At 48.5% G+C, this 23,055-nt stretch overlaps 1 protein-coding gene, 1 long non-coding RNA gene and 1 pseudogene across 4 annotated transcripts, besides 6 other annotated features; all 3 read right to left on the reverse strand.

Annotated features, from left to right (window-relative positions):
- Positions 160–2,554, reverse strand: LINC02574 (long intergenic non-protein coding RNA 2574). Its single transcript, NR_151722.1, has 2 exons — positions 2,509–2,554; positions 160–554 (listed from the first exon to the last, which is right to left on the reverse strand). It is a non-coding gene; the product is annotated as a long intergenic non-protein coding RNA 2574 (long non-coding RNA).
- Positions 2,170–2,685: an enhancer, noted in NCBI's record as "H3K27ac-H3K4me1 hESC enhancer chr1:27988849-27989364 (GRCh37/hg19 assembly coordinates)". NCBI's record gives its function as "activates a minimal SCP1, AML or CMV promoter by ChIP-STARR-seq in primed H9 embryonic stem cells {active_cell/tissue: H9 hESC(primed)}" and the evidence as "EXISTENCE:reporter gene assay evidence [ECO:0000049][PMID:30033119]".
- Positions 2,407–2,616: an enhancer, noted in NCBI's record as "active region_566". NCBI's record gives its function as "activates an Ori minimal core promoter by ATAC-STARR-seq in GM12878 lymphoblastoid cells {active_cell/tissue: GM12878}" and the evidence as "EXISTENCE:reporter gene assay evidence [ECO:0000049][PMID:35858748]".
- Positions 2,686–3,201: an enhancer, noted in NCBI's record as "H3K27ac-H3K4me1 hESC enhancer chr1:27989365-27989880 (GRCh37/hg19 assembly coordinates)". NCBI's record gives its function as "activates a minimal SCP1, AML or CMV promoter by ChIP-STARR-seq in primed H9 embryonic stem cells {active_cell/tissue: H9 hESC(primed)}" and the evidence as "EXISTENCE:reporter gene assay evidence [ECO:0000049][PMID:30033119]".
- On the reverse strand, positions 5,896–12,024 carry IFI6 (interferon alpha inducible protein 6). Of its 3 annotated transcripts, none has more exons than NM_002038.4 (5): positions 11,955–12,024; positions 9,077–9,178; positions 8,290–8,367; positions 8,058–8,207; positions 5,896–6,307 (listed from the first exon to the last, which is right to left on the reverse strand). In NM_002038.4, the coding sequence occupies exons 2-5, from the start codon at positions 9,144–9,146 to the stop codon at positions 6,213–6,215; spliced, it is 393 nt and encodes a 130-aa protein (NP_002029.3). In that variant the 5' UTR covers positions 9,147–9,178; positions 11,955–12,024; the 3' UTR covers positions 5,896–6,212. The 3 variants fall into 3 exon arrangements, with proteins under 3 accessions (NP_002029.3, NP_075010.1, NP_075011.1); NM_022872.3 differs by having other exon boundaries at positions 9,065–9,178; NM_022873.3 differs by having other exon boundaries at positions 9,053–9,178.
- Positions 9,218–9,277: an enhancer, noted in NCBI's record as "active region_567". NCBI's record gives its function as "activates an Ori minimal core promoter by ATAC-STARR-seq in GM12878 lymphoblastoid cells {active_cell/tissue: GM12878}" and the evidence as "EXISTENCE:reporter gene assay evidence [ECO:0000049][PMID:35858748]".
- Positions 12,056–12,395: an enhancer, noted in NCBI's record as "active region_568". NCBI's record gives its function as "activates an Ori minimal core promoter by ATAC-STARR-seq in GM12878 lymphoblastoid cells {active_cell/tissue: GM12878}" and the evidence as "EXISTENCE:reporter gene assay evidence [ECO:0000049][PMID:35858748]".
- On the reverse strand, positions 15,435–15,541 carry RNU6-949P (RNA, U6 small nuclear 949, pseudogene; annotated as a pseudogene).
- Positions 22,290–22,584: an enhancer, noted in NCBI's record as "tiled region #2074; HepG2 Activating DNase matched - State 2:TssF". NCBI's record gives its function as "activates a minimal TATA promoter and a strong SV40 promoter by Sharpr-MPRA in HepG2 cells {active_cell/tissue: HepG2}" and the evidence as "EXISTENCE:reporter gene assay evidence [ECO:0000049][PMID:27701403]".

Here is a 23,055-nt window from a genome sequence, read left to right on the forward strand (position 1 = left end):
CGCCCCGCTGTTACGTCACTCCGACGGCCCCGGATGCCCCGCCCAGTGGCCTTGCCTGGGAAAGGCGACTGGGGCACCGGTGGGTGCGGACCCTCAAAGGGTGAAAATAATTCCCGTGTGAATTGCGCGCATTATAACTGCTCTAAGAAATGCAGCCAGGGCATTTTAAAATGTATTTTTTCAATCACTCCTCTTCCAGCCATTTATCCGTCCGTCTGTATGTATGTCTATCCAGTCAGCCAAAGTAATTGGGTGCCTCCTGAGTGCCAGGCGCTGTGCTGGGTTCTAGCTATAAAGAGAGATGAACCCTCTGCTTGTCCTCAGGGAGCTCATAATCTAGGGCGGAAGCCTGATGGTAACAAATGCTCATGCCATCGTTTTCATTGCAGTCATGATTCATTCTGGGACGGTGAGATACAGGCTGCTGCAATAACCAGGTGTCTAACTTGGATTGGGGCTCAGGTCCCTGTAGAAGTTACATCGAGCCGACTCCTGAAGCAACAAGTGTTCCAGGCAGAGGGAAGAGCTTGTGCAAAGGCAATGAGGCTAGCAGGCTGGAAAATAAGGGAAAGGAAACTGAGTGAGATGAGGCTCTGGAGGTTTACGGGAGCGAATTATTTAAGACCTTGGAGGCCATAGTAAGGAAATAGAATTTTCTTCTAAGTGCTGTGGGCAGTCACTGGGTACTTAGTGTTTTAAAATCTCCCTACCTCTGTGTGGAGAATAGACAGGAGTGGATACGGGAGTAAGAGTGGACACAGGGACACCTAGGAGGTGCCCTCCAGCATGGAAGGTAGTAAGCTAGATGAGAGGGAGGCTACTGTGGGTGGGACATGAACAGATTCAATAAATAATTAGAAGATACAATCCTCAGGCAGGTGGGTTGATGGATTGAATATGGGGGTGGGTGAGGCAGAGGGAGTTAAGATTAAGTCATTCATTCATTGGACAATTATTTATTGAGCCCCTCTAGATGCCAGGCACTGTTCTACAGAGGCAGACTCTCTGGGTTCAAATCCTTGTCCTGTCACTTGCTAGCTGCTTGCCTTAGGGAAATTATTTAACCTCTCTGTACCTTGATCTCTTCATCTGTAAAATGCGGATCCTAAGAACACCCGAGAGAATTATTGTAAGGATGAAAAGAGTTAATATATGTAAAACTTTGGACCTGGGTGTTTGGAGCTGGGCTCTGAGGCTGAGGACTGGGACTTGGGTACTTGGGGTTGGGTACCCGGGCCTACTTCTTGGAGTCACCAAGACTCTATGTCTTTACTGGCTTTATACAGAAAATTAAAAGAGTGACATGGAGAGCAAGCTGTTCCCACACCGTGAGTGAGACACAGGTATCCATACAATTTTAAGCTCTCAGATGATTCCAAGGGGCAGACAAGTTGGCAATTACTATGGTAGAGAGAAACAAGGAGGCAATTTTAAAGTAGGTGGTCAGGGAGGGCTTCTCTGAGGAGGTGACATTTGAGTGAAGACCAAAGAGTGCAGAAGGAGCCATCACTGAAAAGTTAGGGGGAAAAGCCTTTGGGAAGGTGTCTGGCCTAGGCACCGGCATGCCTGGAGGTGTCTTTGGCCCAAGTGTGAAAGACTGAAGGAGAAATGGGCTTAGTTTGGTGGGTTCCAAGGATAGTGATCATGGCTGAGTGAAGACCCCTACCCCTTCTGCAGATCAGAACCTGGAGCAGTTAAACCACGCTGTGCCCTGGTAGCTGTGGGTGCTGGGAGGCAAGCTCTACTGGTTCATCAAGAATTTGTGGTCAGGCTGAGGCAGGCAGATCACCTAAAGTCAGGAGTTCAAGACCAGCCTGGCCAACATGGCGAAACCCCGTAGCTACTAAACATACAAATATTAGCCGGGCATGGTGGCACGCACCAGTAATCCCAGCTACTCGGGAGGCTGAGGCAGGAGACTCGCTTGAACCCGGGAGGTGGAGGTTGCAGTGAGCCGAGATCGCACCATTGCACCATTGCCCTCCAGCCTGGGTGACAGAGCGAAACTCCATCTAAAAAAAAAAAAAAAAAAAAAAAACTAGCTGGATGTGGTGGTCCATGCCTGTGGTCCCAATTGGGAGGCTAAGGTGGGAGGATCACTTGAGCCCAGGAGGTCAAGGCTGCAGTGAGCCGTGATTGTGCTACTGCACTCCAGCCTGGGCGACAGAGCAAGACCCTGTCTCAAAAAAAAAAAAAAATCTCTCCTGTGGGCCCATGCCATTTGTTCACACAGATAATGAACCAGTGGGCCTCTGCCAGCTTCTGACTTGGCACTGGACGTTTCTCTGGGAACTGGTGCTTGGAGCGGGGAAATGGGGGCTGGATTTCTGGGACTGGGTTCTGAGGCTGGGGACTGGGACTTGGATACTGGGGGGTAGGTGCTTGGACTTGCTTTTTGGAATAACCAAGGCTCCATTTCTTTACTGGCCTCTACAGATGAGCCTGTTCCCTAACCTGACTATCCTTTCTGTGGCTTCACGGCACAGAACTTCACAAGTGTGACCTTACCTTGTCTCAGCTGTCTGTTCCATGGAGACCCAGAAAGAGGGAAAGAGAAGGCTGCTCTGGACCTGTTCATGGGGCCTTCCTGGGACCCCTTTTCCGCCCGCTAAGCCAGGAAGCCTATGCTCCCTCATCTTCCACCCCTCCCCCAGCCATCTGCTTAAAGGAAGTGGCTCCTCTGTTCTTCACAGGAAGCCACAGGCCTCCCCTGCCTCGGCAGCCTCCAGCTACTGTTGCCCCAGACCCTCGGCTGGCCCAGACCCCCCTTTCCAGGCAGAATCTAGTGATGCCCAGTTCCCAGCATCCCCCTCTGCTGCCCAGCCAAGAAGTGCGTGTGGTGTGCTCCTCTCGTTAACTTTCATCCTTGTGACTTGGGTCTGGGAGCGCAGGCAGTGAGCCTGGAGGTGAGACCTGACTACAGGAGTTTGGAGATCCCCAAGTTGTAGGACTGAGGACTTGAAGGGAAGAGGAGGTGGGCCCTGGAGGGATTCTCTGATGGACCACTCTTGTGAGCTTCAGTAGCTCCTGCTGCTGAGCAGGGGCGAGGTCTATTCATTTCCGTCTCTATTTAACCCTGGTTGCCTGCCCCAGAGAGGGCTGTTGGTAATCGTGGAGCTGCTAAAGGCTGATGAGGGCTGATGGAGTCCAAGATAGGACTGTACTGCCACCTGGTGGTCAGATCCGCACATAGCACCATGAAATTGTGAGAGCCCCTGCCGGGAGAGTGGTGATTCAAGGGTATGGGGGACCTGGAAGGCCCTTAAAGAACAAGGAAATCCCTAAAGTATTTTATTTAAGAGCAAGACGCTCCTAACTTGAGCACTGGAGAAAGACATTCTAGGTCTGGACGAGAGTTCAACTCCTTCCCTTCCCCATTTTACAATCTGGGAAACAGGTCCAGAGAAAAGTGATGAGGACAGAGAACCTCTACATTGGCAGTCAGAGATGGGATCTATTTTTGGACTCTTTTTTTTTTTTTTTTTGGAGACGGAGTCTCACTCTGTCGCCCAGGCTGGAGTGCAATGGGGTGATCTTGGCTCACTGCAACCTCCACCTCCTGGGTTCAAGCGATTCTCCTGCCTCAGCCTCCCGAGTAACTGGGACTACAGGCGCCCGCCACCACACCCGGCTAATTTTTGTATTTTTAGTAGAGACAAGCCCTGCTAGTTTCTAGTTACCCTCATTTGTGACCAAACATGGTATCGCCCCGCACCGTCACCCACTTTAGTCACCAAAGTTGGCACTACAGAGTGGCTTTTGGCTGCTTCCAAAAATAAAATTCATCCTCAGAAAGCCAGGATCTGACAAGGCTGAGGGGACTCAGAAGCATGCGCTTCAGGCTCAGCAGATGTTTTAGAGGAGGAAGCCCTGGAGACCACAATATGTAACACCCCCAGCCCTAGTTTTGAAAACAAAGAAGGCCGAGTGCAGTGGATCACGCCTGTAATCCCTGCACTTTTGGAGGTCGAGGTGGGCAGATCACTTGAGGTCAGGAGTTCGAGACCAGCCTAGCCAACATGGTGAAACCCCGTCTCTACTAAAAATACAAAAATTAGCCGGGCGTGGTGGCACACACCTATAATCCCAGCTACTTGAGAGGCCGAGGCACAAGAATTGCTTGAACCCAGGAGGTGGAGGTTGCAGTGAGCTGAGATCTCACCACTGCACTCCAGCCTGGGCGACAGAGCAAGATTCTTCGTCTCAAACAACAACAACAAAAACAAGGAAGCTGGGACCCCAAGAGAGTACTTAACTTGTCTGAGGTGACTCAGCCCTGGAGCTGGGCGGGGACACAGCCATGTGTCTCTCTGAAGGTTGCTGCCAGGGAGGCATCTAAAAGTGCATTGAGGCCAGGTGCGGTGGCTCACGCCTGTAATCCAAGCACTTTGGGAGTGATCCTCAGGCGGATCACCTGAGGTCAGGAGTTCAAAACTAACTTGGCCAATGTGGCGAAACCCCTTCTGTACTAAAACTACAAAAATTAGCTGGGGGCGGTGGCAGGTGTCTGTAATCCCAGCTACTTGGGAGACTGAGGCAGGAGAATCGCTTGAACCTGGGAGGCAGAAGCTGCAGTGAGCCAAGATCACGCCACTGCACTCCAGCCTGCGCAGCAGAGTGAGACTCTGTCTCAAGAAAAATAATTAATTAAAAGTGTGTTGAGCATCTCTCGACTCGCGATGGTGAATTCTGGTGTGTGTTCACCCTTCTGCCACAGGCTTTGCAGATAGGATGATTGTGGTCCCTGGCAAGGATTGTGGTCCCTGGCAAGGGTGAGGGTGGGTGAAAGGAGATGGGGGCGGGGAGGTGGTGACAGGGAAGGAAAAGGTGGGGTCCTCATTTGTGCATCGTGAGCCTCAAGTAGGTAGGAACTGGGTCCCATCCGCTGTGGTGTCCTTTGCCCCTGCCATCACTTACAGAATGAAGGCAAGGAGTTATCCTGCGCAGGCCGGTCCCAAGGGATCCTGGGGAAGGTGGAGTCTCCCATAAAGAACTGGTCATTTCCAGTGTCATTCAGCCTGAGGACTGCTGAGGCCTCAGATCTAAAATCCTGGGGCAGGGCTGCCCATCTCTCTGGCCTTGATGTTGTCCAAGGGAATAAGTGGAGGGGGCTTCTTCTAAGGGCAGAGACCCTAGTTTGGTGCCAACTTTGGAAGAAAGGAAGAATATGGTCTGTGAGCCCCAGAGAGTAAACCCTGACTCCAAAGTCAGATGAGCTAATTCCTGGTTGTCACTTGGCTGTTCCCTCTTTGTTTTATGCAAGTCCTTCATCAATCATAACTGACATTTACGGAATGCTTCCTATGTGCTTGGGTTGTCTTCTCCTTCCTATTCAGAAGGGCTGTGAATTCCATATGCAAACTGTTCTCCCTATCCCCAGAGTCCTATGAGGAAAGGGGGACCTTGCCGAGCCCTCGAAAAGCTGCTGTTACGCCCTTTCCCCAGAGCGAAGGGCTGGCCTTTATTCTCCATCTGAGGGTGATCACTAGCGCTTCTTGAGAGAACGGAGACCTGGCTTCTCCATCTCTGCCTAATCAGAGAAGTACCTGGAAGCTTCTCTCAGTGAGAACAAACTGAGTTCTGCCTCCCCAAGCACCCTGTGGAATCAAGCCTGTCCATTTATACAGGAGGACCTGCTAGGCAGGAGTCCAGAGGAGGGGATGTCTGAACTGAGTCTGGAAGGATGGAAGGGAGTTTTTCAGGCAGATGAGCTTCTGAAGGCATCCAGGTAGAGACCAACATGTGCTAAGGCCCAGAAACAAAATCAACTGGTTGTGTTCCAGGAGCTGTGGTTGACTCGAGGGGAAAATGGGAATGGGGGTGTGTGGATGGTGCAGGCCAGAGCCAGATTGTTTTGGGCTTCTCACTGCAAACATGATTGACAGCAGGACAAAGTGTTTTCTGGGTGAAGTTTATTCTGTTTTCACATCTAGGTTGTTGGGGAGAGTGATAGACAAAGTTCTGGATTCTGGGCATCGTCGGCGCATGCTTGTAATCCTACTTGGGAGGTTGAGACAGGAGGATCACTTGAGGCTAGGAGTTGGAGGCTGCAGTGTACTATGTTCGCATCTGTGAATAGCCACTGCACTCTAGCCTGGACAATATAGTGAGAACCCATCTCAAAAAAAAAAAAAAAAAAAAAAAGGCAAAGTTCTAGATCCTAACTGGAAGAGTTAGGCCAAGAAGGAAGAAGAGGTTCTGGGAGCTGCTGGCTACTCCTCATCCTCCTCACTATCGAGATACTTGTGGGTGGCGTAGCCCATCAGGGCACCAATATTACCTATGACGACGCTGCTGCCACCAGCCCCTGTAAAGCAAACACAGATGAGTCACTGGGGCCCAAGTGCCAGGCCTGGGAATCCAAATGTCTGGAAACCATTGGTTGAGTCCAACCCCTTATGTCTAGATGGAGAAACAGAGGCCCTGAGAGGGGATGGCACTACTACAAAGTGAGTCCCATTGCCTTGACATCCCAAATCAGAGATGTGTTTCAGTGATGAAAAAGGCAAAAATAATGGCTCCTTCACCTGATGTCTGCCATGGAAACGCCATGTTATTAATCATGCTAACAGCCACCTTCGTGGAGCCCTGTGTGGGTGTGGGGGGTTCACAAGCCAGGGATCATTTCATCTTGTCACAGCTATGTGCCATGTGAGAGGACAACTAGCTGATAGCCCAGAGGTGTCCCTGGGCTCGCCCACACTCTTCCCCTCCCATTGCAGGGGTGTGGCCCCGTCTGAGCAGGGCTCTCTTCTTTTGGGCTGGTTCTTTGGGCTTTTGCCATTCAGAATTGAGAGAAGAGAAGATGCGAGGTTCAGAAAGGCAGAGAGGGAAGTTTGTCAGGGGCAGGTTTTCTCCAGGATTTTGGAGGCCTCAGAGCGCGAGAGAGAGGTGGGGGTGGGTGGGGAGAGAGGAGAGAGAGGGAAGTAAGGCCATTTTTTATGAGTCACTCTGGGCCAGCACAGTGGCTCATGCTTGCAGTCTCAACACTTTGGGAGGCCAAAGTGGGAGGATTGCTTGAGCCCAGGAATTCAAGACCATCCTGGGCAACACAATGAGACCCCGTCTCTACAAAAAAAAAAAAAAAAAAAAAAAAAAAAGCCAGTGTGTGGCGGTATGCGCCTATAGTCCCAGCTACTTGGGAATCTGAGGTAGGAAGATAGCTTAAACCTGGGAGTTCGAGGCTGCTGTGAGCTGTGATCATGCACTGCATTCCAACCTGGCAGTGTGAGACCTTGTTTTGACCTTTATCTATAATAAATAGATCAATAGATTGATCAATCGATAGAAGAGTCACTGTGAGCTCTGTTATCTGTTCCCTCCATGGTGTTCAAAAAGTGCAAGTCAAGACCAGTTTGGTGTGAGATTGATTTGAGTTACTCTACTATGTTTCTTTGCTACTGTGGTCTCTGAGATTGAGCAGATTCAAAAAATGTTAAACTGAGGATGATCATCCCCACGCACCGCTGAGGGAACTGAGGCTTGTGATTTGGCCAAAGCATCAGTGAGGCACCCAGCCTTTGAGGCTGAGAATGGGGCTTCTCGCATTGTACTGACTGGGTCAGAATCTAGGCTCTGGTCTAAACTAGCAGGGAGACTTGAGTAAGTTACTTAATTTCTGGCCGGACGCGGTGACTCACGCCTGTAATCCTAGCACTATGGGACGCCGAGGCGGGCGGATCAGCTGAGGTCAGGAGTTTGAGGCCAGCCTGGCCAACATGGTGAAACCCCATCTCTACTAAAAATACAAAAATTAGCCGGGCGTGGTGGCGTGTGCCTGTAATCCCAGCTACTTGGGAGGCTGTGGCAGGAAAATCGCTTGAGCCAGGGAGGCAGAGGTTGCAGTGAGCCAAGATCACACCACTGCACTTCAGCCTGCCTGGGTGACACAGCCAGACTCTGTCTCAAAATAAATAAATAAAGAATCACTTAATTCCTGGTAAACTACTTAATTACTTGAGTAAATTACTTAATTCCTGAGTGCCTCAGTTTCCCCAGATGTATGATGAAAATAATAGTAAAGAACGTCCCACCAGGGGCCCAGGCCCCGCACTCACCGAGGCTCTGCAGCGTGGCCACTAGCCCCCCGGCGGGCACGCCGCCCCCATTCAGGATCGCAGACCAGCTCATCAGCGAGGCAGCCACCGAGTTGGCCGCGATGCCGGCGCCGGTGAAGCCCAGCGCGGGCAGCCCGGCGACTGCGAGTCCTGGAGGAACAGGAGCAGGTGAGGGAGCGTCCGCGGCAGAGGCCCGCCCCGCCTGCCCGAGATCCTCGCCCTCCAGACCCACCTCCTCCGACGGCCATGAAGGTCAGGGCCTTCCAGAACCCGGAGCCGCTGTCCGAGCTCTCCGAGCACTTTTTCTTACCTGCAGGAGAGCAGACAAAGCGTAGTGGGGGTGTTGGGGTGGGACACAGGGGTCCCCTACTCTGTGTCTGATGCTCAGGACCACTCCTGGAGGCGGGGGCCACCACTCTCCTACTCAGAGAGCCTCACAGAGGGGAAGGGACTTTCCCCTAGGCGCCGAGCCTGGCACAGAACTAGCATCGAGTAAATTTCGGTAGGATGGAGGAATGAACAGAGTAGTGGGATTTGAATCTGGGACTCTGGCGACACCAACCCTGCGCTGTCCATTGGAATGGACGCCAGGGTCTCTACAGAAGCACGCCAGACCCTCTACACCCCGGACCCTGAAACTCTCTCCTTTATCCCACACTCCTCCCATCCCCCAGCACCCTTATATGCCTCCTTACTTGTCCCCTTACCTGCACCCTTATCTGTTCCCTTACCTGCACCCTTACCTGCATCCTTACCCACATCCTTACCTGCATCCTTACCCGCATCCTTACCCGCACCCTTACCTGCATCCTTACCTGCATCCTTACCCGCATCCTTACCTGCATCCTTACCCGCATCCTTACCTGCACCCTTACCTGCATCCTTACCCGCATCCTTACCTGCATCCTTACCCGCATCTTTACCTGCATCCTTACCCGCATCCTTACCTGCACCCTTACTTGCATCCTTACCTGCACCCTTACCTGTCCCCTTACCTGCATCCTTACCCGCATTCTCACCTGCCTCCACCCCACTGCAAGTGAAGAGCAGCAGGTAGCACAAGAAAAGCGATACCGCCTTCTGCCGCATGGTGGCGCCGCGCGCGGGCTCCGTCACTAGACCTGCGAACGGGCGAGAGGGAGATGGTCCCCGGAGCATTTTTGGAGCTCATCAGCTCCGTTGTTTTCCCTTCCAGTTCCAACTGAATCAGTAAAAAGCAGCGAGGTGTGGTGAATGGAACCCAGGATCCCTCTCAGGAGCCTCGGGAATCCGTTTCCTCTCCGCATCAGTGGCAGAGATGTCCCTGCCCCAACCGGTGGGTGTGCGGATTCTGTGCGGATTCGCACGGTGTTTGGCACGTGGTAAGCTCCGCAGATGTCAATATCATGACTGTGGTTGTTCCTGGCCTTGTACCCAAGTGACCTTGGGCAGGATACTAGGGTACTTTGCTTCTCTGGGCTTCAGTTTGTTTATTTCTAAAATTGGGGTATTAATAGAGTCTATTTCAGAGGGTACTTGTTAATTTAATAACTGTTCCACGCTGTATCCCCGGCACTTTGAACAGTGCCTGACGCATAGAATTTGCTTTAAAAAAATTTTTAAGACAAACTCATTCTTACAATGCATTGAATATCTACTGGCACCAAACGTTGGCCTCACATCAACTTAATTTTTTTTTCAGAAAGAAAGCACAGAAGGGTGTGTGGAAAAAGAAACTCAGTTTCCCTCACCGTACGAGAGGCTTCTGACAGCAGAAGTGTGGGGGTTTCTCCCCACCAGCAAGCAAACAATCAGTCCTCTGGTGAACACCAGCTGAGGGTCCCCAAATTCAATTCTGACACCACTATGGGTAGATAGTGGCCGATCCCACATGTTGAGGGTTCAGTCCCCCAGACTGCCAATCGAAAGCCCTAGGTTGTTTTACCTGTGTTTCTGACTGACTATAAACTGGGGTTCCCACAATTCCCTCCTGCAGTTTTACTAATTTGCTAGAGCAGCTCACAGAACTCAGGGAAACACTTTACTTACATATACTGGTTTCTTTCTTTAAAAAAAAAAAATTGATCTTGTTGTTGTTTTGAGACAGGGTCTCACTCTATTGCTCAGGCTGGAGTGCAGTGGCCCCATCTCAGCTCACTGAGACCTTCGCCTCCCAGGCTCAAGTGATCCTCCCACCTCAGCCTCCAGCATAGCTGGGACTACAGGTATGCACCACCACGCCCAACTAATTTTTTTTTTTTTTTTTGAGATGGGGTTTCACCATGTTGCCCAGGCTGATCTTGAACTCCTGAACTCACGCAATCTGCCTGCCTCAGCCTCCCAAAGTGCTGAGATTACAGGCATCAGCCACCATACCCAGCTACATTTACTGGTTCCTTATGGATATTACAAATGCTCCGGATGAAGAGATGCATAGGGCAAGGTATGGGAGAAAGGGCATGGAGTTTCCATTCCTCTCCAGAAGCACCACCCACTGGAGACCTCCTTGTATTCGGCTATCTGGAAGCTTGTCAAACCCTGTCCTTTTGTGTTTTTATGGAGGCTTCATTACATAGGCATGACTGATTAAATCACTGCCCATTGGTAATCAGCTTAACCTTCAGCCCCTCTCCCCTCCCCAGAGGAAATGCCAGCCATCAGTCAACTTATTAGACAGTTATCACTCAAAAGATATTTATCACTTTGAAGATTCCAAGGATTTTAGGAGTTGTATGCCAGGAACTGGGGGATGAAAAAATATATTTTACAATATCACAAGGGATAAAGGTCACACAGCAAATTGTGCAACATGGGTACACATTCAAGACAGTCAGAATTCATGAACCTATGCTCTTTCCTTTATACCACAAAACTGGAAAATGCATATGCCCTCAGACTCACCTCTAATATGATCTTTGTCAGATCAATGCTATTTTCTTAAGTTAAAAAGAAAAACAAGAAACTCCTCTCATGTATTGAGTACTTAGCACTTTATGGCACGCAGTCCACTTGTACCTATAACAACACCACGAAGTAGGTACCATTGTTATCAACCACATGTTATAGATAAGGAAACTGAAGCTCAGAGAGGTTAAGTAATATTCCCAAGGCTGCCTAGCCAGGTCATGGCAAAGTCAGGGTTTAAACCCACAATTGGCTAATACCCAAGCCCACATTTTTTTTTTTTTTTTTTTGAGATGGAGTCTTTCTCTGTCGCCCAGGCTGGAGTGCAGTGGCGCAATCTCATCTCACTGCAAGCTCCACCTCCCAGGTTCATGCCATTCTCCTGCCTGCCTCAGCCTCCCGAGTAGCTGAGACTACAGGCGCCCACCACCAAGCCCGGCTAATTTTTTTTGTATTTTTAGTAGAGACAGGGTTTCACTGTGTTAGCCAGGATGGTCTCGATCTCCTGACCTCGTGATCCGTGGGTCTCGGCCTCCCAAAGTGCTGGGATTACAGGCGTGAACCACCACGCCCGGCCACCAAGCCCACATTTTTAACAACCACTCCAGATGGCTTCATCTATCCTTAAAGATGAACTCACTGTCACATTGGATCCTATAATAAAGGGGATTCTAAAATCATCCAGTCCTTTGAGCAGCAAAGGCAACTTAACTTTCCTTTTACAGAGGAAGTAATTAAGGCTCCAAGAGGTGACAGTGTTAAGGCCACAGATCGCTGATATTGCACCTGTAAGCTGGGTCTCATGCCACTTGGGGTTTTGCATCCCATCTCCCTAAAAATCTCCAACCCATCCTCTTAGACAAGTCCCAGCCCAGAGCACTAAAAGGGACCCAGGAGTGCTGCCTCCCAGGAGAAGGGGCCTCCTGGCTCTCAGAACATGAGATTTACAGGCAGACAGGCAGCCTGGCAGAGGGTGGCAGCTTGATGCCCACACTTCATAGCTCCTGAGTTTACCTTGGAGGAGAGAAGAGAAGCAATCTTCAGCCCGGAGCCTGCTGATAGATGGGCACAGCAGCGAGTAAACGGTTCTCCGGCTGAAGGCTGGCTTTTTATCATCACTTGTGGATCCTCCCACGTCTCACCCTAGGCAGCCAATCCCTGTCGGAGTTTCTATTTCTGCACTCTGCAGTTTCATTTTCCCCTCTCTCCCAGCTCCTGCACTCTGCAGAGTTTCATTTTCCCCTCTCTCCCAGCTCCGCCCAGCGGGAACATTTGTGTGCTGCCTGCTGGCAGAAAAATGCACTTCAAGCTGAGGACTTTTGGAGCCGCTAAGGGTATTCAAAGCATGTCACACTATGATGAGAGCCACGGCCATACTGGGCTTAGTGAAGCCTGATCACCAGCTCCCCCTGGGGCACACAGGCCTTTCACCATTCAGTCCAATTAGTAAACAACACCTATCATTTATTGAGCACTTGCTGCATGCCAGGGTCTGTGCAAAGTGCTCTATTTACATGATCTTTTTCCAATCCCACAGTAGTCATGTGACATACCATATGCTGTTTATAAACCCCCAGAACTTTGGAAATTAAGTCACTTTGTTCCATTGTTCTCTCAGGCTGGCTGCTTCTGGGTCATGGGCATATGGTAAGACCAGTGAAGCCTGTGTTCATGTGGCCATCATGATAGATCTTGAGTTTCAAGATGGGTCCCCTGGCCCTAGGTAATGAACTGAGCATTCTTTAAAGCCTTTGGATGGTGATGCTTGAAGTGCTATGGGTCAGAAATGCAACCTCTATTTGGAGAACATAGAAATTCCAGTAAGGATGAATCATTGCCTTCTCCCAAGTGGAAGGGGTCTGAAATAATTGACCTGCCACCAGATGGCTGGCTATTCTCATTGAGAAATTTTGCCATATTGCTACCTGCTGCTGGCAGATTGGCTATATTTTGGCAATTGCCAGATCAGTTTTGGTGAGAGGGAGCCCAAGTTGTTGGACTCATTTCTAACCCCCATCCTTACCACCTTGGACACTCATAGGTCTATTGCAAGGCAATAGTGAGGCTAAGTTTAGAGGCTGGCTGACATCCACAGGATGGGACATCCTGGCCATTGGGCTGTAGAGCCTCCTCTGCAGCAGATGATCTCTGGTCAGCATTAACATGAGACATAGAGATCCAGGTGCTTTATGCCCATTCAGAGTTCATTCTTATGCCCCTAACCCACACCTGCTTATTCCCAATCTTCCAATCTTGTTCCATCCATGCCTTTGACCAACCAGCCAAGCCATTTGCCTCTTATTAGGAATTGGTGTATGTCTGTACTTCAGTCCATCTCTCTCTCTCTCTCTCTGCATACAGAGGGAACAACACGGTATACTGCTCCTAGTTCTGCCCCCTGGGAGGATTCACTATTATTCAGTGCCACCCCCAAATGGGGCTGTAATAGAGTGGTCCGTTTCCAGCTGATACCAAAATATTATACTGACTTATCTGTGAATTGAGTTTGACTCCTTTCCTCCATTATCTGTTGGTTGCTGGGAACACTCCATGAGGCCATATATATGGGTCAAAGAGAAAACCCAGAGAAACAGAGTTGGGCGCCACAGGACTCTGAGCTCCCTGTTTATTTAATTTACTCAAGCCTTTTAGACCCCTTTGCTCAGCCTTGAATATACCATTTCCATCATATATTTTTTGTTTTGTTTTGTTCTTTGTTTTTTGTTGTTTTTGTTTTTGTTTTTGAGACAGTCTTGCACTGTTCCCCAGGCTGGAGTGCAGTGGTGTGATCTTGGTTTACTGCAACCTCTGCCTCCTGGGTTCAAGCGATTCTCCTGCCTCAGCCTCCCAAGTAGCTGGGATTACAGGTGCGCGCCACCATGCCCGGCTAATGTTTTTTGTATTTTTAGTAGAGATGGGGTTTTGCCATGTTGGCCAGGCTGGTCTTGAACTCCTGACCTCAGGTGATCCACCCACCTCTACCTCCCAAAGTGCTGAGATTACAGGTGTGAGCTGCTGTGCCTGGCCTCTTTGTTGTTTTGTCGGTTGGTTGGTTGGTTTGTTAGAGACAGGGTCTCACTCTGTTGCCGGGGCTGGAGTGCAGTGGTACAATCATAGCTTACCGCAGCCTTGACTTCCTAGGCTCAAGAAATCCTCCCAACTCACCCTCCCAAGTATCTGGGACTATAGGCATGTGCCACCACACCCAGCTAATTTTTATATTTCTTTTAGAGATGGAGGTCTCACTACATTGCCCATGCTAGTCTCCAACTCCTGGCTCCAAGTGATCCTTCTGCCTCGAGGTCTTAAAGTGCTGGGATTACAGGCATGAGCCAATGCGCCCAGCTTCCATCACATATGGAACTGCTGCTCTACCTTTCTGATAATACCCAACTTAAGATATATAGCTACCTGGCACCCAGTGGTGAGATGTGTAGTCACTACTGGGGCCCAGTGACACATCAGGGCCTCTTTTCCCAAAGGGACCACAGTAAGCATAGCCTTACTGCAGAATCCTAAGAATCCTAACCGTAATTCTCCTATGTGGGCTTTCAGAAACTTTCTACAGAATCTTTTTTCTCCCTCCCTACAGAATTGTTATCCACCTTCACACAGATACATCCAGCAACATTGTAGGATCATATAATCAGAAGTGGCAGCATAGCTTGTTTTGTGGCCTGAACCTGCTACACAGTTAAGAGGAAAGAAAAAAACCAAAATGACCTAATGTGCTTTTTCTTTTCTTTTCTTTTCTTTTCTTTTGAGACAGAGTCTCGGTCTGTCGCCCAGGCTGGAGTGCAGTGGCGCGATCTTGGCTCACTGCAAGCTCCACCTCCCGGGTTCACGCCATTCTCCTGCCTCAGCCTCCCGAGTAGCGGGGACTACAGCCGCCCGTCCCCACGCCTGGCTAATTTTTTGTATTTTTAGTAGAGACAGGGTTTCACTGTGTTAGCCAGGATAGTCTCGATCTCTTGACCTCGCGATCCCCCCACCTCGGCCTCCCAAAGTGCTGGGATTATAGGCGGGAGCCACCGCGCCCGGCCTGCGTTTTCTATTCTCTCACTGAACACAACAATCGCCACAGACCAGATGTGTGGGTGGGTTTTTTTTCTCACGCCCCAAGCAGCAGACACCAGCTGGGTGTCCTCCGATTCAATTTTTTTTTTCTTTTTTTTTTTTTTTGAGATGGAGTTTCACTCTTGTCGCCCAGGCTGGAGTGCAGTGGTACTATCTCGGCTCACCGCAACCTCCGCCTCCCGGCTTCAAGCGATTCTCCTGACTCAGCCTCCCATGTAGCTGGGATTACAGGCATGCACCACCACACCCGGCTAATTTTGTATTTTTAGTAGAGACGGGGTTTCTCCATGTTGGTCAGGCTGGTCTCGAACTCCCAACCTCAGGTGATCTGCCTACCTCGGCCTCCCAGAGTGCTGGGATTATAGGCGTGAGCCACCTTGCCTGGCCTCAATTCTTTTTTTTTTTAATTATTAAAATAAAAATATGGAACGCTTCATGAATTTGTGTATCATCCTTGCACAGGGGCCATGCTAATCTTCCCTGTATCATTCCAATTTTAGTATATGTGCTGCTGAAGTGAGCACTTTTTTTCTTTTCTTCAGACAGGGTCTCACTGTGTCACCAAGGCTGGCTCAATCACGGCTCACTGCAGCCTCGACCTCCTGTGTTCAAGCGATCCTCCTGCCTCAGCCTCCCGAGTAGCTGGGACTATAGGGGTGCACCACCATGCCCAGGTAATTTTTGTATTTTTTGTAAAGATGGGGTTTTGCCATGTTGGCCAGGTGGTCTCGAACTCCTGGGCTCAAGGGATCTGCCCGCCTCAGCCTCTCAAAGTGCTGGGATTACAGGCATAGGCCACTGTGCCCAGCCTCCAATTCAATTCTGACACTGTCTACCTGGAGAGAGCATCGATCCTACAGGTTGAGGGACTCCTCAACTCTCACCCTCAAGACACAAATCAGGGCTTCTGGAACTTCCGACTGGTTACAAGTTGGGATTCCCATAATCCCTTCTTTGGGTTTAATTCATGTGCTAGAGAGGCTCCTAGAGCACAGGGAAACACAGTTAGCAGTTTACTACACAGGAAATTAGAAAGGCTACATGAAGAGATGTGTTGGGTGAGGTATGGGGGAATGGGCACAGCGTCCTCCAGGAACATCCATGTGTTCAGCTATTGGGAAGCTCTCGGAACTCTGTCTTTTTGCTTTTTTATGGAGGCTTCATTACATAGGAATGATTGATTAAACCATTGGCCACTGGTGATCAACTTGACTTTCAGTCCCTCTCCCCTTCAGTGGGTGGAGCTGAAAGTCCCAACCCTCTAACCTTGCCTTGGTCTTCCCAGTGACCAGCCCCATCCTGAAGCTACCTAGAGACTGCTGGCCATCAGTCAATCATTAGTATACAAAGCATGGTGGCATACACCTATAGTCCAAGCTATTTGAGAGGCTGAGGTGGGAAGATTGCTTGAGCCTAGAAATTCAAGTCTAGCCTGGGCAACACAGTGAGATCCCATCTCTAAAAAATAAACAAATAAGAAATCATTAGCACACAAAAGGCATCACTTTGGAGATACCAAGGATTTTAGGAATTGTATGCCAGGAAATGAGGTATGGGGGAATGGGCACAGCATCCTCCAGGAACATCCATGTGTTCAGCTATTGGGAAGCTCTCGGAACCTTGTCTTTTTGGTTTTTTATGGAGGCTTCGTTATCTATTTCAAATATCTATTTCACAATATCACTGTCCACCTCTGGTCTTCAAACCCCATTTTTTTTTTTTTTTTTGAGATGGTGGTTCTGTTGCCCAGGCTGGAGTGCAGTGGCATGATCTTGGCTCACTGCAGTCTCCACCTCCCAGGTTCAAGTGATCCTCCTGCCTCAGCCTCCCAAGTAGCTGGGATTACAAGCATGTGCCACCATACCTGCCTAATTTTTGTATTTTTGGTAGAAACAGGGTTTCACCATGTTGGCCAGGCTGGTCTTGAACTCCTGACCTCAAGTGATCCACCTGTCTCAGCCTCCCAAAGTGCTGGGATTACTGGCATGAGCCACTGCACCAGGCCTTCAAACCCAAATTTCTTTCTTTTTCTTTTTTTTTTTAATTTTAATTTAGGTTCTGGGATACACGTGCAAAACGTGCAGGTTTGTTACATAGGTATATGTGTGCCATGGTGGTTTGCTGCACCTATTAACCCGTCCTCTAAAAACCAAAATTTCTTACATCAAAAGTACATACAAGGCCGGGTGCAGTGGCTCATGCCTATAATCCCAGCACTTTGGGAGGCTGAGGTGGGTTGAGGTCAGGAGATCGAGATCATCCTGGCTAACAGGGTGAAACCCCATCTCTACTAAAAATAAAAAAAAAATTAGCCGGGTGTGGTGGCGGGCGCCTGTAGTACTCAGGAGGCTGAGGCAGGAGAATGGCGTGAGCCTGAGAGGCGGAGCTTGCAGTGAGCCGAGATCCCGCCACTGCACTCAGCCTGGGCGACTGAGCGAGACTCTGTCTCAAAAAAAACAAAACAAAACAAAAAACAAAAACAAAAAGTACATACAACTCCCCAGCTACTCGGGAGGCTGAGGCAGGAGGATTGCTTGAACCGGGAGGCGGAGGTTGCAGTGAACCGAGATCACACCATTGCACTCCATGCACTCCAAGACAGAGCAAGACCCTGTCTAAAAAAAAAGGACATAAAATTCAAAAGATACTGCCATAATTAGCCAAGCATGGTGGTGCCCACCTGTAGTCCCAGCTACTTTGGAGGCTGAAATGGGAGGATCGCTTGAGCCTGGGAGGTCGAGGCTGCAGTGAGCTGTGATTGCACCACTGCACTCCAACCTGGGTGACAGAGCAAGACCCTGTCTCAAAAAAAAAAAAAAAAAAAGGAATTAAAATAAAATAATAATAATGGGCAGAGAGATATCCTCCTCAAAGTAATAGTTTGATAGAGAAGTGGAGTGGGTAATTGAAACATTTGTTGTCTAAAATAGGGGGAGATGAAAGCATGAAGGGCTGGCTTACATGTTGCTCACACACAACACAAGTGGAGACTAAAGGAGTGGCCCCACTAGATTTTCCTCATTTTTTCCAATAGATCAGGAAAAAAGGGAGCAAGGAGGATGCTGGTATGATTATTCAATTCTTGCCAAGGGAGGAGTACACTGGTACAATGGCCATAACTGTTTTTCTTTCTTCCCCAAATCACTTCAAAAAAATTTTTTTTCCTCCTCTTCCTGATGTAGTCCTAGGATCAGGGCTGCAGCTATAATATCACAGTCCCCACTTGTAGTATCCCTTATAATAAACTAGTAAATATAAGTGTTTCCCTGAGTTCTGGAAAGTGCTGGCAGCAGGGATGATTCCTAAGCAAAAAACTAGAACTACGTTTTTAAACTTTATGTCACAATTCCTAAAGGCCTGATGGAGGTGGGTTGTGCAAAATTGGAGTTAACAATGAATGCAGCCCTACTGCCTGGTGGTAAAAATCACCCGCCAAGTTCTGCACCTTTGCTACCTTATCCTATTCAAATTGGAGTGAACTAAGGAGTACTTACTAGACTAGTATTGCTGGCTGCAATCTAGACCAGCACAGTGGCAATCTTAATGTCCCTTCCAAAGGTAAAATCTTTGGATATTAATGGAGAGAAAGAGGGATAGTAGCTGAGGGTAAAGAATTTAATAAATGGATTATGAATTGAGGGAAACCCAATATTACATTAACACCTCAAAAGGAGCTCAGAGCAAGAGATGACATTGTCTGTGGTCAGTTATCCCAGATGTCAGAAAGAGTGATATATATTTGGTGAGATCACTCCTGCTTTTGGAACCTGACAAGATTGAATGGAAGCCTGCAAACCTGAATGACATCACCCTGGGAGACATTCATACAATATGATGGATGGGACTAACTATTAATGATTGAATAGGATTTTAGTAAAGTGGCAGTATCTTTTTTGCAGGGGCAGGGGACAGGGTCTTGCTCTGTCACCCAGGCTGGAGTTCAGTGTTGTGATCACAGCTCACTGTAGCCTCAACCTCCCGGGCTCAAGTGATCCTCCCACCTCAGCCTCCCAAGTAGCTGGGACTACAGGTGGGCACCACCATGCTCAGCTAATTATGGCAATATCTTTTGAGTTGTATGTCTTTTTTTTTTTTTTTTTTTTTTTTTTTGAGACAAGTTCTCACTTTGTTGCCCAGGCTGGAGTGCAGTGGCACAATTTCAGCTCAGTACAATCACCACCTCCCGGTTCAAGCGATTCTCCTGCCTCAGCCCCCCGAGTAGCTGGGATTACAGGCCCATGCCACTACACCTGGCTAATTTTTGTATTTTTAGTAGAGATGGGGTTTCACCATGTTGGCCAGGCTGATCTCGAACTCCTGACATCAGGTGATCTGCCCGCCTTAGCCTCCCAAAGTGCTGGGATTACAGGCGTACATCATGCCTGGCTGAAACTCCCATTTTTAAAACCATCAGATCTTGTGAGAGCCATTCACTATCACAAGAAAAGCAGGGGAAAGACCTTACCCCATGATTCAGTCGTCTCCCACACTGTCCCTCCTGCAACATGTGGGAATTATGGGAGCTACAAGATGAGATTTGGGTGGGGACACAGAGCCAAACCATATCATTCTGCCCCAGCCCCTCCCAAATATCATATCTTTACATTTCAAAACCAATCATGCCTTCCCAACAGTCCCCCAAGTCTCAATTCATTTCAGCATTAACTCAAAAGTCCACAGTCCAAAGTCTCATCCTAGACAAGGCAAGTCCCTTCCACCTATGAGCCTGTAAAATCAAAAGCAAGTTGGTTAATTCCTAGATACAATGGGGGTACAGGCATTGGGTAAATACAGCCATTCCAAGTGGGAGAAATTGGCCAAAACAAAGGGGCTACAGGCCCCATGCAACTCTGAAATCCAGGGGGGGGCAGTCAAATATTAAAGCTCCAAAATGAGCTCCTGTGACTCCATGTCTCACATACAGGTCATGCTGATATAAGAGGTATGTCCCCATAGTCTTGTGCAGCTCCAGTCCTGTGGCCTTGCAGGGTACAGCCTCCCTCACGGCTGCTTTCATGGGCTGGTGTTGAGTGTTTGCGGCTTTTCCAGGTGCACGGTGCAAGCTGTCAGTGGATCTATAATTCTGGGGTCTGGAGGATGGTGGCCCTCTTCTCACAGCTCCACTAGATGGTGCCCCAGTAAGGACTCTGTGTGGGGGCTCTGACCCCACATTTCCCTTCCGCACTGCCCTAGCAGAGATTCTCCAGGAGGGCCCCACCCCTGCAGTAAACTTCTGCCTGGGCATCTAGGCATTTCCATACATCTTCTGAAATCTAGGTGGAGGTTCCCAAACCTCAGTTCTTGACTTCTGCACACTTGTAGGCTCACCACCACATGGAAGCTGCCAAGGCTTGAGGTTTGCACCCTCTGAAGCCACAGCTGGAGTGGCTGGGACACAGGGCACCAAGTCCCTAGGCTGCATACAACTTGGGGACCCTGGGCCCAGCTGATGAAACCACTTTTTCCTCCTAGGCCTCCAGGCCTGTGATGGGAGGGGCTGCCACAAATGTCTCTGACATGCCCTGGAGACATTTTTCCCATTGTCTTGGTGATTAACACTCAGTTCCTTGTTACTTATGCAAATTTCTGCAGCCAGCTTTAATTTCTCCTCAGAAAATGGGATTTTCTTTTCTTTTCTTTTTTCTTTTTCTTTTTCTTTCTTTCTTTCTTTCTTTTTTTTTTTTTTTTTTTTTTTTTTTGAGATGGAGTTTCACTCTTGTTGTCCAGGCTAGAGTGCAATGGCATGATCTCAGCTCACTGCAACCTCTGCCTTCTGGGTTCAAGCGATTCTCCTGACTCAGCCTCCTGAGTAGCTGGGATTACAGGCATGCGCCACCACGCCTGGCTAATTTTGTATTTTTAGTAGAGTCGGGGTTTCTCCATGTTGGTCAGGCTTGTCTTGAACTTCCAACCTAATGTGATCCGCTTGCCTCGGCCTCCCAAAGTGCTGGGATTACAGGTGTGAGTCACCGTGCCTGGCCTGGATTTTCTTTTCTATTGCATTGCCAGGTTGCAAATTTTCCAAACTTTAATGCACTCCTCAAATTTTGTTTACAGTATTTCCCTTTTGAAACTGAATGCCTTTAACAGCACCCAAGTCACCTCAGAAAATGGGATTTTCTTTTCTATTGCATTGTCAGGCTGCAAATTTTCCAAACTTTAATGCACCCCTCAAATTTTGTTATAGTGTTTCCCTTTTGAAACTGAATGCCTTTAACAGCACCCAAGTCACCTGTTGAATGCTTTGCTGCTTAGAAATTTCTTCCACCAGATACCCTAAATCATCTCTCTCAAGTTCAAAGTTTCACAAATCTCTAAGGCAGGGGCAAAATGCCGCCAGTCTCTTTAACATAACAAGAGTCACCTTTACTTCAGTTCTCAACAAGTTCCTCATCTCCATTTGAGAACACATCAGCCTGGACCTTATTGTTCATATCACTATCAGCATTTTAGTCAAAGCCATTCAACAAGTCTCTAGGAAGTTCTAAATTTCCCACATTTTCCTGTCTTCTTCTGAGCCCTCCAAACTGTTCCAACCTCTGCCTGTTACCCAGTTCCAAAGTAGCTTCCACATTTTCGGGTATCTTTTCAGCAACGCCCCACTCCTGGTACCAATTTACTGTATTAGTCCATTTTCATGCTGCTGATAAAGACATACCCAAGACTGGGCAATTTACAAAAGAAAGAGGTTTAATGGACTTACAGTTCCGTATGACTGGGGAGGCCTCACAATCATGGCGGAAGGCAAGGAGAAGCAAGTCATATCTTATGTGGATGGTGGCAGGCAAATAGAGAGCTTGTGTAGAGAAACTCCCATTTTAAAAACCATCAGATCTTGTGAGACCCATTCACTATCATGAGACCAGCATGGGAAAGACCTGCCCCCATGATTCAATCATCTCACACTAGGTCCCTCCCACAACATGTGGGAATTATGGGAGCTATAAGATAAGATTTGAGTGGGGACACAGAGCCAAACCATATCACCTGGCTAATTAATTTTTTTTACTTTTTGTAGAGACAGGGTCTCGCTTTGTTTCCCAGGCTGATCTCAAACTCCTGGCCTCAAGCAATCCTCCCACCTTGGCCTCCCAAAGTGCTGGGATTACAAGTGTGAGCCACCATGCCTGGCCTTACATTTTTCACACACAATTGGTGCATAGGTACAGCAATTTGATTGGTTTATGCAGTGTTTCTTTTTGGAATGGGTGCATTTAAAATTTTTTACAGAGGGTGTAATAGTCATGGGTTTTCTGTTATCTGGTCTAGGCAAAGCAGGACAACAATGGGGAAGTTAATCTACACAAAGGGTCATTCATTAGGAAGAAGGGTGGTTTTTATTCCTGACATCATGTAACTCTCTTAGTCATTGTACAGAATAAGACAAACAAGAAAGCGAGTTAATCTATAATCTGAGAAACGGAAGTAGTAACCATATGAGACTCAGATTAAAGGAGGAGACCACCCCTCATATTGTCTAATTTCTACCTCCAAAGAGAGAAGTAAAAACTCAAAGGCAGAAATGAAATCCACAGGCAGACAGCCCAGCGCCATGCCCTGGGCCTGGTTAAAGATTGACCCCTGACCTAACAGGTTATGTTATCTATAGATTCCAGATATTGTATGGAAAAGCACTGTGAAAATCCCTGTCCTGTTCTGTTCCGATCTGATTACCAGTGCCTGCCACCCCCAGTCACATACCCCCTGCTTGCTCAATCGATCATGACCCTCTCACATGGACCTCCTAAGAGTTGTAAGCCCTTAAAAGGGACAGGAATTGCTCACTTGGGGAGCTCGGTTTTTGGAGATGTGAGTCTTGCCGAAGCTCCCAGCCGAATAAAGCCCTTCCTTCTTTAACTCAGTGTCTGAGGGGTTTTGTCCGTGGCTTGTCCTGCTACAAGATCACAGTCACATCTCTCTCAAAGCTTAAGGTGTTTGTGGGGTTCCAACAAGGTTTACATTTTATTTATTTTCACACTTCTTTGATCAACAGAGCAGCCTTCCAAACAGAATGTTGTCCATTCACCTTGGAACTGCC

Source organism: Homo sapiens, chromosome 1 (assembly GCF_000001405.40).
Source record: "Homo sapiens chromosome 1, GRCh38.p14 Primary Assembly".
NCBI lineage: Eukaryota > Metazoa > Chordata > Mammalia > Primates > Hominidae > Homo > Homo sapiens.